This window comes from Homo sapiens, chromosome 11 (genome assembly GCF_000001405.40).
Source record: "Homo sapiens chromosome 11, GRCh38.p14 Primary Assembly".
Lineage (NCBI taxonomy): Eukaryota > Metazoa > Chordata > Mammalia > Primates > Hominidae > Homo > Homo sapiens.
Genome location: NC_000011.10, coordinates 56,991,935 through 57,006,846, shown reverse-complemented (window position 1 = coordinate 57,006,846; position 14,912 = coordinate 56,991,935). Strand labels below are relative to the sequence as shown.

At 45.1% G+C, this 14,912-nt stretch overlaps 1 annotated feature.

Moving 5' to 3' along the window:
* Positions 470–971: an enhancer, noted in NCBI's record as "H3K4me1 hESC enhancer chr11:56773351-56773852 (GRCh37/hg19 assembly coordinates)". NCBI's record gives its function as "activates a minimal SCP1, AML or CMV promoter by ChIP-STARR-seq in naive H9 embryonic stem cells {active_cell/tissue: H9 hESC(naive)}" and the evidence as "EXISTENCE:reporter gene assay evidence [ECO:0000049][PMID:30033119]".

The window sequence follows — 14,912 nt, the reverse complement described above, 5'->3', positions numbered from 1 at the left end:
AATGTTTGGGGATGGCTATGCTAGGAGAATGTACGTTGCTTCTGAACTTGCTTCCTGATAAGTGTGGAAAAGAACACATTTCCAAATTAGTGCCAGTGAATACTTCTAGAGGCTGTTTGTTCCAGTAACAATTGCACATCTGGGATGGCAGCTAGATTGGTGCTTCCATTAGGCTAAGATTGTAATAGTCTATTTTCTGCCATAATCAGTGTGGGTTTCATAGTTCCTGGATTGGTGGATTAATTGGGGATATTGATGGCCGCGGCTGCTCCTGGTGGCCAGTTGCTTCCATCACACCAGCTGCAGCAGGGAGGTGTGGCTGGGGCTGCATGCTCCGTGGGCCCAGCAGAAGCTGGGGACAAGTGGGAGCCCTGCCCCTTTCGAATTAGGGTGAGAGCTCCCTGGGTGTCATTGCTGCTGCTCAAACCATGGCTGCAAAGGGCCTCTTGCTCCACAGAGAGGGCAGGATCCCTGGCTTCTCCCCCCAACCCTGTGCAGCTGCAACCACCCAAACCACAGCTGCAGACTCAGGCATCCCTCCACTCTTGAGGTCCCAGGAAGGCCCCACTGACCCCACAGGCTTGGAAATGCCTGCTCTCACTGCCTGGCTTTTCCCTGCTGTGGGTGCCCACTCTGATCTCAGAGCAAAGTCAGTACCAAGTCCAGGGGCTATGAATGGCAGCAGGATGTAGCCAGATTCCTGGGCAGAAGGGTGCACCCCATGTTCAGGCCAGGGAGGGCCAGAAGACTTGGGCTTGGCTGCGATTCCCACTGACCAGAGGGAGATCTTGTGGCGTATTTTCTGGGCCTACCCATGGCTGCTCATGGACCAATCACCATGCGCTTTCTCCCATCTGAGGCCCATAAAAGCCCCGTGCTCAGAGAGAGCTTGGCAGATGATGGGACGACTAGGTGCATAGAGCAGCTACCCTCTCTGCTGATAGCAGGAGACATCAGGATGACCACCAGGAGAGAGAAGTTACCCACTCAAGGGCCTGCTGTCTGCTGAGAGCCGGGAAGACAACAGGATAACTTGCCTGCAGAGAGAAGCTTCCCACTCCAGGGTCTCCTCTGTGCTAGGATCTGAACACTCATCAGGACACCCTGACTGCAGAAAGGTACTACCCCATGCAAGTCTGCTGTGAACTGTTCTATTGCTCAATAAAGCTCCTCTGTATCTTGCTCACCCTCCATTTCTCTGTGTACCAGATTCTTCCTGGTCACAGGACAAGAACTCAGGACCCACTGAATGGTGGAGCTAAAGAAGCTATAACACAAATGGAGCTGAAACATGCCCCTTACTTGCCATGTTGTGGGTGAAGAGAAGGAAAGAAGAGGTTCAGCCTCTTTGGGAGCACAGACTTAGGAGCTTCCTGAGCCAAGGCTGTGCCTTCCTTTATGGGGTCCTGTGGTGCCTGGCATCTCCAAGCTTCCAGGTGCCACTATGTTCCCTGGTGCCAGCCAGGAAAGCTGCCTGTAGTGTGCCTGGTCCAGACACAGCCTCACAGAGAGCCAGTTCCTGTGCCAGCACCTAGAGCTTCCTGCTTTGCTGTGGCAGCCAGCATATCTGACTGTGCAGTTGCTGGACCCTACGCTTGCTCACACACCCCTCACCACTCCATGCCTGACTTGCCCTTGGCAGGAGTGGGATCCAGGCTGGTAGTGTAAGCTGAGTGCAGCCTGCCAGACCGAGTTGGTGGAATGAGCCCAGTGGGCCCAAGCAAAACTCAGGCAAAGGTGCCACTAGCCAGAGGTTTCAGGCCAGAAAAGCAACACCCCAAGGATCCTGTAACAATATAATGAGGACCACTACCTAATCTAAGTCTTATAGAGTGGCACTATTCCACTCCATTCCACTCCACCTGGAATAATTCTGATGTACTGTTATGTTTACTATCCCCCCAAATCACTTCCCCATTCACTGTAGTGATAGATAACCATTATCTTCTGCCTCATAGAAGATTGAGCACCAATATCCTTGGCAGTACGATATTGGCAGTAGGATCAATATCCTTGGCATCAGCCTGACTTCTTTCTTAACTGTACTGTTAAGTTATCTATGCAAAGAATCATGTGTCAGGTGTTGAGGATTAATCCATGAAATGTGTAATTTTTCTGGTGAGGAATGATGGAGGCCTCACACATGCATCCACTGCCAAGATTACCCACTACTCCTCTAGGCTAAGTGACAGCTCTGCCCATGTTCTTCTTGGTGTCTATACTTCCTGTATTGCATTAGACCCTTCTGCCCCTATGTCTTCTGTGGCACATACATACACGCATACACATCCACAAACTTGACCTCAAAATTCAAAAAGAAACATTAGTAATAAAAACCCAACAATCCTTGGAGGTTCCTGATAGCTTGCTCAAGCTACCAAGCTGGTTTCACATATTTTATTCCATAAACTGTGTATTGAAAAACTTATAACGTTAAGACATTGAGGAGCTGAGGGAATTAACCTGCTCACATTTATCCTGTTGCTCTTTTATTCTACCTTTCTGCATATAAAATGACAGACATGTACTTTCTGTGTGTTTATTTACAATAACACTGTTCAATGTTGTTATAGGCAGTTGCTTCACCCAGTAAGCTTGGGCAAAGCTCTTGTTGCTGCCTCACTTTTCAACCCAGAGACAGCTGTGCTGGACTGCAGCTGACTTCTCTCAATCCCTGTGAGAATGCTCTGTCTAGATTTCTGGTCTTTCCTTTCCACTTTCCTTTGTCCATTTATTTCTTCCACAGATGTTTATTCAGATACTACAATGTGCTGAGAATATGGTGGATGTTGGGAATCCAACGTTGAGCAAGTATTTTCCTCACCTTTATGTTCCATATTAGTGAGGACATTCATCTTTCCTGGTGGCAGGATGAGTCACACCATTATTCAGAGCCAATAAAGAAACTAATTAACCATCCATAACATCTAGATAACACTAGATAACTTCTAGAAAAATGTTACAACATTTTCTTTGTGATTTGGCATCTCCCTAACTATCTTTACAGAGAGAGTGTTTTCATTTAATTCCTTTCTGCTTGAATGGTGGTCAGAAACTTTAAAACTAATATAGTGTCAGTATCTCTTGGGAAGCAATTTTTAGCCTTAGGAGATATATCTATTATATTTTCCAATCTTAAAGAGCTTATCTATTTAAAAAAAGCAGCATTGGTTTATAATGTGAATATGTTTCCTATTTTATTTTACTTTTTAATAATTTCAATTTTTATTCTAGATTCGAGGTTTCATGCACAGGTTTGTTATATGGGTATGTTGCAAGATGTTGAGGTTTGGGATGTGAATGATTCCTTAACCCAGGTAGTGAGTATAGTGATATGGACAGGAGACAGAGAGATACTGGGTAGAAGAGGGCAGTGCACTGGCAAAGGCCCCACCTTTAAGGCTGGAGACCCGCCAGAAATAAGTGAAAAGAGGGATTTCTGTTTTTGTACTCCAAAAGTGGCCTTTTGGCCTGCTATGCCCCCCTATCCTATACCCATATAAGTTCTGAACCCCAGACTCCAGAGGCAGACAAAGAAATGAGGAGACGACAGAAGACAAATGGAAGAAAGGCACAGCAGAGAGAGAGAGAAGAGAAAGAACATCTGAATGCCGAGAGGAATTCGCCTGGGGGCAGTTGGGGGGAGTTTGGCTGCTGGATGGCCAAAACTCCAGGGGAAGATCATCTTCCCACTCCATCGCCTTTCCGGCTCCCCATCCATCTTGCTGAGAATCACCTCCACTACTCAGTAAAGCCCTGCATTCATTTTTCAAGCTTGTGTGTGACCCAATTCTTCTGGGATGCTGGGCAAGAGCTTGGGATACAGAAAGCTGCCACACTGGCCCTCTGCCCTTGCAAAAAGGCAAACGGTCCATTGAACTGGTTAACACTTAAGCCATCTGCAGATGGCAAGGCTAAAAGAGCATTTTTACACTGCGGCAGCAGGCACCCACCCCTAGACACTCCTGTGGGGCCGGAGCTCAAAGCACTCACCCCAGCTCCTGCACCTGACCATCTGCGTGCTCCCCGTCTCCCTCCTATCAGGGGTTTGACCAGTGGTGGTGACCAAACCTGTGAGCCACACCCTTATTGCATATCCTGCAAAGGGAATCAGGGAACTCTCCCATTTCATTTGGGGCCCCATCTGGGATACAAAGAAGGGTGAGTTAAAATGAGGATCTGTGTCTTTTCCAAGACCCTGCCACCTCTCTCTTTCCTACAGACAAAAAGAACATTGACTATATTTCTCTTCAGAGAAGTCTATCCACCACAGAACTGGAGTAAAGCTCTAGGGCAACCGAAGGGCTTTTTTTTTTTTTTTTTTTTTTTTTTCTGGAAGGCCCCAAGACTCAACTCCGTTGGCCAAGACTCCCAGACTTTGCCTGGTGTCTTTACTTCTCTCAAGGTTTGAAATGCCTCTTATCTCTTCCCTGATAATGTTAAGGGTTTTGCTACAAACCGCGACAATGATACTAAATATAATGAGCATTTGGCGCAGCCATCAAAGGTGAAATTCAGAACAATGTGGTTTCTGTTTATTCTTAGAGGTACCATCCCCATCCTGAACCTGACAGTCACAGACGCGCAGCGCATGACACCTCTTCTCCTCGCCCACTCCCTTCCTGGCTTGGGTGCCTGGGCATGTCGACAGCATGCATAAGCCATGCCCAATGGCCACGAGGGGTGGGAGAAAATCACAACTGCTGCCGGGGCCTCATGTGGCTAGCTGTCCAGCACTTCCCACCTGCCATGCCGATGGAACTTTTCCTCCCCTGACCAAGAAGGTCACCCTGGTCTGAACCAGGTGAAGGATACAATGATAAAGGAACCTGTTTGCACTGAGCAAGGTGTTTTTCCCCCAGGACCTCTCACTTTTGCCTCTTAAACTATTTTTTTCTTTTCTAAATGAGAGGGCTCCTATCCACAGCACGCTGCTTATGATAGGAAAAATAATAGAGGAGCGACCCCTGCTGGCTGATAACTGCAAATTCAACAGGGCTAATTTGAGACCATCTAGACAGATACAGACAGCCCCTGAAATACCTTTTTTTTTTCTTTTTTTGTCTCAAATTCGATTCCAAGCTTCAGGCTGAATCCTTAGAAAGGAAAACCAGATCTGAGGGAGTCAAAGCCAGGCAACAGGCACAATGTGAATGGGCAGGACCAATTCCTGCTGACTAAACCCCCACCACATGGAAGGAGGCCATGCTCCATAACATAAATGAGCCCAGGGATCTCAAAGGTTGCCAGCAGTAGGGAGGATGGAGGCATAGGTGAGGGCAAATAATTCCTATTCTCTAGGCCTTCCCTGCATCATGGGTACATGTCGCATTGGCACCCATGGGTGGGAGCTGCCAAGGTCTCCAGGACTCAGGGACAAAAGATGGAAGAGAAAAAGGGGACACTTGTTTTCTCTCTCTTCACACTCTGAGTTTTCACTGAAAGAAGGAAGGGAAATGAGAGTCACCTCTATTTCCTTGTCTTTCTGAATGGGCAACCAGCTCTTTTCATCACCCTTTGCTTATATTCCTTTGGAGTCTATCCTGAACCACTGGGACTGCTATGACCCTTAGAATCTGGAAGAAAAATGCCTCATAGCCCTCTGCACAGAGGTTTGGTGAAATTATGAAGGACTGGATCTGCCTTAGGAAGGAACAATTTATTTCAATACCATCCTGCAGTGTTATCTTTTCTGTAGATGTGCAGACAGATGATCTGAGGCCCCATATTTGCAGGCTTTCTGTAACTTGCAGAACAACCCAGGCCTTCGCTGACAGTGTAGGATTAATCCAGCCCTCATGTTAACCATCTCAGGAAAGGCTGCAAGGGGCAAGCCAAGGAAACTAAAAATACAAATTCCAGAGACACCCCTAGCAGAGGAGCCAGCTCCTTCCAGCCCTGTTCCTCCAGGTCGGCCCTGACCTCCCTATCCAACTTCAGCCTTACACTTGCCCCCGCTTAGAAATCCTCACCATAGACAAGTCCTAGTCTCACTCTTGCCCCTCCAACAGATGCCTGGTTAATTTTGCCTCAGTCAGGTCCAAGTCTCCTTCTCCTTTTAAGAGTTAAGGCAAATTAAGGGGGATCTCGACAAGTTTTCAGATGGCCCTGATCAATATATAGAGGCTTTCCAGAATTTCACTGAATAATTTGAACTCTCCTGGAGAGATGTTATGTTACTTTTGAATTAGACCCTGATAAAGACTGGGAAGCAGGCCACTCTACAAGCAGCAGAGAGATTTGGGGATGAACTTTTTATCACATATAGCATCAGGGAAGGGGGTGAAATCCTCTAACTGGAAGAGAAGCAGTACCAATGGATGACCTAAATGAGATCCCAATGACAAGACGGGAGGCTGGAAGAGGAGACACTTTCAGGTGTGCATAATGGAGGGATTACATAGGACTAAGACTAAGCCTCTCAATTATACTAAGTTATCCATGATTGACCAGGGATTTGATGAAAATCCCACTGTCTTCCTGAGAAAGCTAAGAGAGGCCTTGATAAAGCACACCTCTCTATCTTCTGATTCAGTCAAATGGAAAACTAACCCTAAAGCATAAATTTATTACTCATGTAGCCCCTAATATCAGGAGGAAGCTGCAAAAACAGGCCCTGGGACCAGATAATACTTTACAGAACCTCCTGCAAGTAGCCATGTCAGTCTTATACAATAGAGATAGGGGTGCCCAGGAGAGAGAGAGAGAGGAAATACAGAAAAGAGACAGAGGCTTTAATGGATGCCAGGCAAGCCCACAAACCCAGAATTCCCAGGGTGCACTTGTTAACTGCTACAGATGGGCCAAGCCAGGGCGTTTGAAGAAGGATTGCCCAGGCAGCATAAGGAAGCCACTTTGACCTGTCCAATCTGTCGTGGGGAAACCTGGAGGGTAGATTGTCATTGGGGACACCAGCAGTAGGATTGACAGGTCCTGGGGCTCTTCTTCTTGAGTCTGGTGTTCCAGACCATTATTATCATCCGAGAGCCCCAGATAATTCTGGAAATTGAAGGGGAAAAAAGTAGACCATCTTTAGGACACTGGGGCTAGTCTCTCAGTTCTCCTCCCCATTATGGACCCTCTCTCCTCTCTTAGTAAGACCATGAGGAACATATCAGGAAAGGCCTTTAACCTGATCTTTTTCCCAACCACTTAGTTGTAGCTGGGGAGACCTTTGGTTCACCCATGCTTTTCTAATTATGCTGGAAAGCCCAAATCCTCTGTTGGGTGGGGATATTCTGGTTCATATGGGGACCCCATCCTGATGGCCCCTGTGCAAACTTTTTGTCTGCCCCTAGTGGAGACCATTTTAAACCAAAAGTTTGGGCAACTCGAGGGAAAATTGGCAGAGCCACAACCACCATACTGGTCCAGGTCCATCTTAAGGATCTTACCTCCTTTCCTAACCAGAAACAATATCCCCTGAAACCAGAAGTCAGGAAAGGACTAGAAGCCATCATTGATAACTTGAAGAGGCAAGCCCTCCTCAAACCCTGAAATGGCCCTTGCAATACCCCAATATTGGGGGGTACAAAAACCCAAAGGGGAATGGGGACTAGTTCAGGACCTCCATATCATTAATGAGGCTGTGGTTCCAATACACCCAGTGGTTCCCAATTTGTATACCCTGCTAGCTCAAACATCTGAGGGAACTAAATGGTTCACAGTGCTGGACCTAAGGGATGCCTTCTTCTGCATACCATTACCCTCTGACTCTCAGTATTTGTTTGCATTTGAGGATCCCTCTAACCAAACCACCCTGGACGGTGTTACCTCAGAACTTCTGAGACAGCCCCCACCTGTTTGGGCAGGGATTATTGAGAGACCTCAATAATCCTCTGTCCTTTATCCTTAGTTTAAAGTTTTACAATATGTCAATGGCCTTCTTCTCTGTGCTCCAACTGAGGAAATCTCTCAGGAGGGCAGTAAGGCTTTTCTTAATTTTCTGGCTAACTGAGGATATAAGGTTTCAAAATCTAAAGCTCGTCTCTGTCACGCTTCAGTGAAGTATCTAAGCCTGGTGTTCTCAGAGGGCACAAGAGTGTTGGGTGAAGAGAAAATTAAACCCATTTTCCATTTTCCCTTCCCGCAACCCTCAAGCAACTGAGGGGATTCTTAGGCATTGCAGGATTCTGCAGACCTGGATACCTGGGTATGGTGAAATAGCTTGTCCCTTATAACACCTAAGAAAGGAGACTCAGGCAGTTAAACCTCACTGTCTAATATGGGAATCAGAGGCTAGAAAGGCCTTTGACTGAGTAAAACAAGTCTTGCTTAAGGCACGAGCCCTTAGTCTCCCCATAGGAAAAATGATTAATCTTTGTGTCGGAGAGAAAGGAAATGACAGTGGGAGTTCTAACACAGGCCTTTGGTCAGCCCAGAAGCCTGTAGGCTACCTGAGTAAGGAGTTTGATTTGGTAGCCAAAGGATGGCCAGCCTGTCTCTGGGCAATCACAGCAGTGGCCTTGCTGGTACCAGAGGCTACTAAGTTAACCATGGAGAATAATTTAACTGTCTATACCTCACATAATGTGGCAGGACTACTATCTTTTAAGGGGAGTCTCTGGCTATCAGACAACTGCCTCCTTGGGTATCAAGCTCTGTTATTAGAAGGATCTGCAGTCCAATTAAAAACCTGTCGCTCCCTAAATCCAGCCACCTTCCTCCCAGAGGAAGCTGAGGAACCTGAACATGACTGTGAACAAATAGCACAAACCTATGCAGCCAGAGAGAACCTCAAGGAAACCCCCTTAGAGATCTCAGACTGGATTCTCTTTACAGATAGGAGTTCTTTTGTAGAATAAGAAACCCATAAAGTAGGGTATGCAATAGTTACCCTGAGTGATTTTGTTGAGAGTGCACATCTCTTCTCTGGCAAAAGTGCAGAACTGGCTGAAAAAATTGTTCTCATGAGGGTGCTTGAATTAAGCAAAGGAAAAACAGTTAACATTTATACAGATTCTAGGTATGCTTTCCTTGTCCTCCATGCCCATACCACTATCTGGAAAGAGACGAACTTCCTTACAGCTAATGGGTCTCCCATTAAATACCATTAGGAAATTTACAGACTATCATCCTCAGCTTTCCTCCCATGGAAAGTGGCAGTAATAAATTGTAGAGGCCACCAAAGAGGGATGGATGAAATAGCCAAGAGAAATAGGCTGGCAGACCAAGGAGCTAAATCCATCAGTAAGGGGGGCCCAGGTCTCTGACCCACTTGAAGCCCCACTGATCTGGGAGGGACCCATAAGAGAAATAAAACCTCAATATTCTCCTGTGGAAATATAATGGGCCACCTCTTGGGGAAACATCCTTCAGTCCCCAGGATAGCTACAATCAGACAATGGCAAGCTTCATATACCAGCTGCCAACCAATGGTAAACTCTTAAAAGCCTTCACCAGTCCTTCTACCTAGGTAAGAATAAAGCTTATCAACTCTCTCAGAGATTGTTCTCAGGCAAAAACCTTATACAAACAATTAAACAGGTCGATAATGCTTGTGAGACCTGCTTTAAAAACAATCCTCTTAATTGATGGCTTCTTCCCTCAGGAACCCAGAGGACAAAGGCTACCTTTTGGCAAATGGATTTCACTCATATGCCAAAAGCAAGAGGCATCCAGAATCTCCTAGTATGGATAGATGCTTTCATTAACTGGGTAGAAGAATTTCCATGTTGGACAGAGAAAACCTCTGAGGTGATAAAAGTACTAATCAATGAGATAATTCCTCACTTTGGACTCCCTAAGTGCCTCCCGAGTGATAATGGCTCTTTGTTCAAGGTGACTGTCACCTAGGGGGTCTCAAAAGCACTAGGTATACAGTACCATCTTTTTTGTGCCTGGAGACCACAGTCCTTAGGAAAGGTAGAAAAGACAAATGATATTATCAAAAGGTACCTCAGGAAACTCTCAGGAAACTCGTCTCTGCTGGACTACCCTTCTCCCCTTATCCCTGCTATGTATTAGAAACACTCCTTCAAAGCTGGGTTTGAGTCTCTTTGAGAAACTCTCAGGAAACTCATCTCTGCTGGACTACCCTTCTCCCCATATCCTTGCTACATATTAGAAACACTCCTTCAAAGCTGGGTTTGAGTCTCTTTGAAATGATGTATGGACAGCCTTTTCTCACCAATTATTTCTTTCTAGACCAAGAAACCTCTGATTTAATTAAATACATAACCTCGTTGGCCCATTTCCAACAGAAACTGCAACAATTGTCAGAGGCCCAATCCCATGAACCAGGGCGACCTCTATTATTAACTTAGGGTCCCTAGTGCTAGTAAAGGCATTTCCTTCCTTTTCTTCCTCTATAGGCCTAGGTTGAGAGGGACCTTACACTTTTCTTCTTTCTACTCTTAGGGCAGTGAAGGTCACAGAAATAGACTCTTGAATTCATTATACCTGAGTAAAGGCCTGGGAAGGTGATGGAGTCACCGCCGTTGACCCAGAAGAGCACCCAAAGTACCAATGTGAAGAGATCATGGACCTCAAGCTAAAAATCACAAAAGATAAGTGTTATGAATTTAACTTCCATGGATATCCTCCTTATAGTGTTGCCTATGCTTGCTGTTCTTACCTTTGTTCTGTTCTATACCATGGGGCACAATAGTGTTTTTAGAATAATTACCATTCTTATTCTGTACACTTCTTATTTCTGTAATCTTTGGCACTAGATTCTTTCCTTGTATAATACACATTTAACGCATGCACACTTAACCTTACAAAACTTGTTTTTTTTTTTCTCTCTCACATAGAGGCCATCAAACTCCAAACAGTCAGGCAATCTGACCCTCAGACGATGGTTCCCCTTTGCCAGGGACTCTTAGATAGACCTCTAGGAAGAATCTGACTGCCATTTTCCCCAAAACTATGCCCACTGTCAACAAGAAGTAGCTAAGATTGGTCATCGCCCATATTCTAGCAGCAGTTAGATGTGCCTACTCAGAGGGGGAAATGATATGGACAGGAGACAGGGAAATACTGGGTAGAAGAGGGCAGTACCCTGGCAAAGGCCTAACTCTCAAGCCTGGAGACCCATGGCCCTAAGTAGGAACAGGCATTTCTGTTTTTGCACCCAAAATATTGCCTTTTGGCCCACCATGCCCCCCCTTATCCTCAACCCATATAAACCCCAAACACCAGGCTTCAGAAGCAGATGAGACGAGACAAGGAGACAAACAAGACAAATGGCAGAATGGTGTGGCAGAGAGAGAGAGAGAAGAAAAGGAATGACTGAACAGCAAGAGGAGTTCAGCTGGGGGCAATCGAAGAGGAGTTTGGCCAATGTATGGCCAAAACTCCAGGGGAAGGTCATCCTCTTACTCTTTCCCCCTTCCAGTTCTCCATCCATCCCACTGAGAACCACTTCAATAACTACACATTCACCCTTCAAGCTCATGTGTGACCTGATTCTTCTGGGATGCTGGACAAGAGCTCGGGATGCAGAAAGCTGTCACACTGGCCGTTTGCCCTTGTGGGTAGGCAGAGGATTCACTGAGCTGGTTAACACTTAAGCCCTCTGCAGATGGCAAGGCTAAAAGAGCATTGTAACACTGGGGCTGCAGGCACCCACCCCTGGACACTACCATGGGGCTGGAGACCAAAGCACACATTCTGGCTCCTGCAACTGCTCATCTCCATGCTCACCCTCCTGTCAGGGGTTTGAGCAGTGGTGGCTTGCTTGGTGGCAGCCAAACAGGCAAGCCACACCCCTGTCACACTTCCTGTGAGGAGGATCAGGGAAGTCTCTCATTTTAATATGATATGGTTTGGTTGTGTCCCCACCCAAATCTCATCTTGAATTGTAACTCCCACTATTCCCACTTGTCATGAGAGGAACCCGGTGGGAGGTGACTGAATTATAGGGGTGAGCTTTTCCTGTGCTGTTCTCATGACAGCAAATGAGTCTTATGAGATCTGATGGTTTTAAAAATGGGAGCTCTCTTCTCTTTTCTGTCACCATCTGAGATGTGCCTTTCACCTCCCACCATGATTGTGGGGCCTCCCCATGCCATGTGGAACTGTAAGTTCAATAAAATTCTTTCTTTTGTAAATTGCCCAGACTCAGGTATGTTTTTATCAGCAGCATGAGAACAGATTAATACAGTAAATTTGTACCAGGAGTGGGGTGCTGCTGAAAAGATAACCTGAAAATGTGGAAGTGACTTTGGAACTGGGTAACAGGCAGAGGTTGAAACAGTTTGGAGGGTCCAGAAGAAGACAGAAAAATGTGGGAAAGTTTGGAACTCTCTAGAGACTTATTGAATGGCTTAGCCCCAAATGTTGATAATGATATGGACAATAGAATTCAGGCTGAGTTGGTCTCAGTTGGAGATGAGGAACTCTTTGGGAACTGGAGCAAAGGTGATTCTTGTTATGTTTTAGCAAAGAGACTGGTGACATTTTGCTCCTGCCCTAGAGATCTGTGGAACTTTGAACTCAAGAGAGATGATTTAGAATATCTAATGCAAGAAATTTCTAAGCAGCAAAGCATTCAAGATGTGACTTGCATGGTGTTAAAGAAATTCAATTTTAAAAGGGAAACAAAGCATGAAAGTTTGGAAAATATGTAGCCTGACAATGTGATAAAAAAGAAAATCCAATTTTTTGAGGAGAAATTAAATTTGGCTGCAGAAATTTGAATAAGTAATAAGGGATCAAGTGTTATTCACCCAGACAATGGGGAATATATCTCCAGGGCATGTCAGAGACTTTTGGGTGGAAGCCCCAAGTCTTGGAAGCTTTAACTTCCAAGCTGTTGAGCCTGAGAGTGCGCAAAAGTCAAGAACTGAGGGTTGAGAACCTCCACCTAGATTTCAGAGAATGTATGGAAGTGCATGGATGCCCAGGCAGAAGTTTGCTGCAGCAGTGGGGCCCTCATAGAGAACTTCTGCTAGGGCATTGCAGAAGAGTAATGTGTGGTCAGAGTCCCCACACAGAGTTTCTACTGGAGCACCACCTAGTGGAGCTGTGGGAAGAGGGCCACCATCCTCCAGACCCCAGAAAGGTAGATCCACTGACAGCTTGAGCTGTGCACCTGGAAAACCCACAGACACTCAAGGTCAGTTTGTGAAAGCAGCCAGGAGTGGGGATATACCCTGCAAAGCCACAGTGACAGAGCTGCCCAAGACGATGGGAACCCATCTCTTGCATCACCATGACCTGGATGTGAGACATGGAGTCAAAGGAGATCATTTTGGAGCTTTAAGATTTGACTGCCCTGTGGGATTTCAGACTTGCATGGGGCCTGTAACCCCTTTATTTTGGCCATTTTCTCCCACTTGGAATGGCTGTAAATTTACCCAACACCTGTATCCCCATTTTACCTAGGAAGTAGCTAATTTGCTTTTGATTTTACAGGCTCATAGTCAGAAGGGACTTGCCTTGTTTCAGATGAGATGTTGGACTGTGGACTTTTTGAGTTAATGCTGAAATGAGTTAAGACTTTGGAGAACTGTTGGGAAGGCATAATTGGTTTTGAAATGTGAGGAAATAAAGTTTGGGAGGGGCCAGGGTTGGAATGATATGATTTGGCTGTGTCCTCACCCACATCTCATTTTGAATTGTAACTCCCACTATTCCCATGTATCATGTATGAAACCCGGTGGGAGGTGGTTGAATTACAGGGGCAAGTCTTTCCTATGCAGTTCTTGTGATAGTGAATGAGTCTCATGAGACCTCATGTTTTTAAAAATGGAGGTCTCCCTGCACAAGCTCTCTTCCATTGTCTACCACCATGTGATATGCACCTTTAACCTTCTGCCATAATTGTGAGGCTTCCCCAGCCATGTGAAACTGTAAGTCCAGTAAACCTCTTTCTTTTGTAAATTGCCCAGTCTTGGGTATCTCTTTATCAGCAGCATGAAAATGTACTAATACACAATAGTACCCAACAGCTAGTGTTTCTAACCCTTACCCCAATTGCTCCTTCCCCCTAGTAGTCCCCAGTGTCTATTGTTCTTGTCTTTGTGTCTCTGTGTATTTAGTGTTTAGCTCCTACTTATACATGATAACATGTGGTATTTGCTTTTCTGTTTCCACGTTAATTCACTTAGGATAATGGCATCTAGCTGTATCCATGTAGCTACAAAAGACTTGAATTTGTTCATTTTTATGACTGTGTGGTATTCCATGGTGTATACATACCATGTTTTCTTTATCCAATCCACCATTGATGTGCACTTAGGTTGATTCTATGTTGTTGTTGTTATGAATGATGATGTAGTGAACATATGAGCACTTATGTCTTTTTGGTAGAAAACTTTATTTTCTTTTAAATATTATCCAGTTATGGGATTACTAGGTCAAATGATAGTTCTGTTTTAAGTTCTTTCAGAAATCCCCAGATTGCCTTCCACAGTGGCTGAATGGGTTTACATCCCCAACAGTGTATAAGCATTCCCTTTTCTCCACAGCCTGGCCAGCATCTATTAATTTTTGACTTGTTAATAATAGACATTCTTGCTGGTGTGAGATGGCTTTCTCATTGTGGTTTTGATTTGCATTTTTCTGATGATTAGTGCTGAGCATATTTTCATATGTTTGTTGGCTTCTTGTATGTCTTGTTTTGAGACGTGTCTGTTGATTGTTGATATCCTTGGCTCACTTTTTAATGGGGTTATTTGTTTTTGCTTGTTAAGTTGTTTAAGATACTTATACATTCTGGATATTAGATTTGTTGGATACACAGTTTGTGAATATTTTCTCCCATTCTGTAGGTTTCCCGTACATGCTTTTGATAGTTTCTTTTGCTATGCAGAAGCTGTTTAATTGAATTAGGTTACACTTGTCAAGTTTTGTTTTTGTCACAATTGCTTTTGAAGACTTAGTCATAAATTATTTCCCAAGGCTGATGTTCAGAATGATGTTTCCCAAGTTTTCTTCTAGAATTCTTTTAGTTTGAGGTATCACAT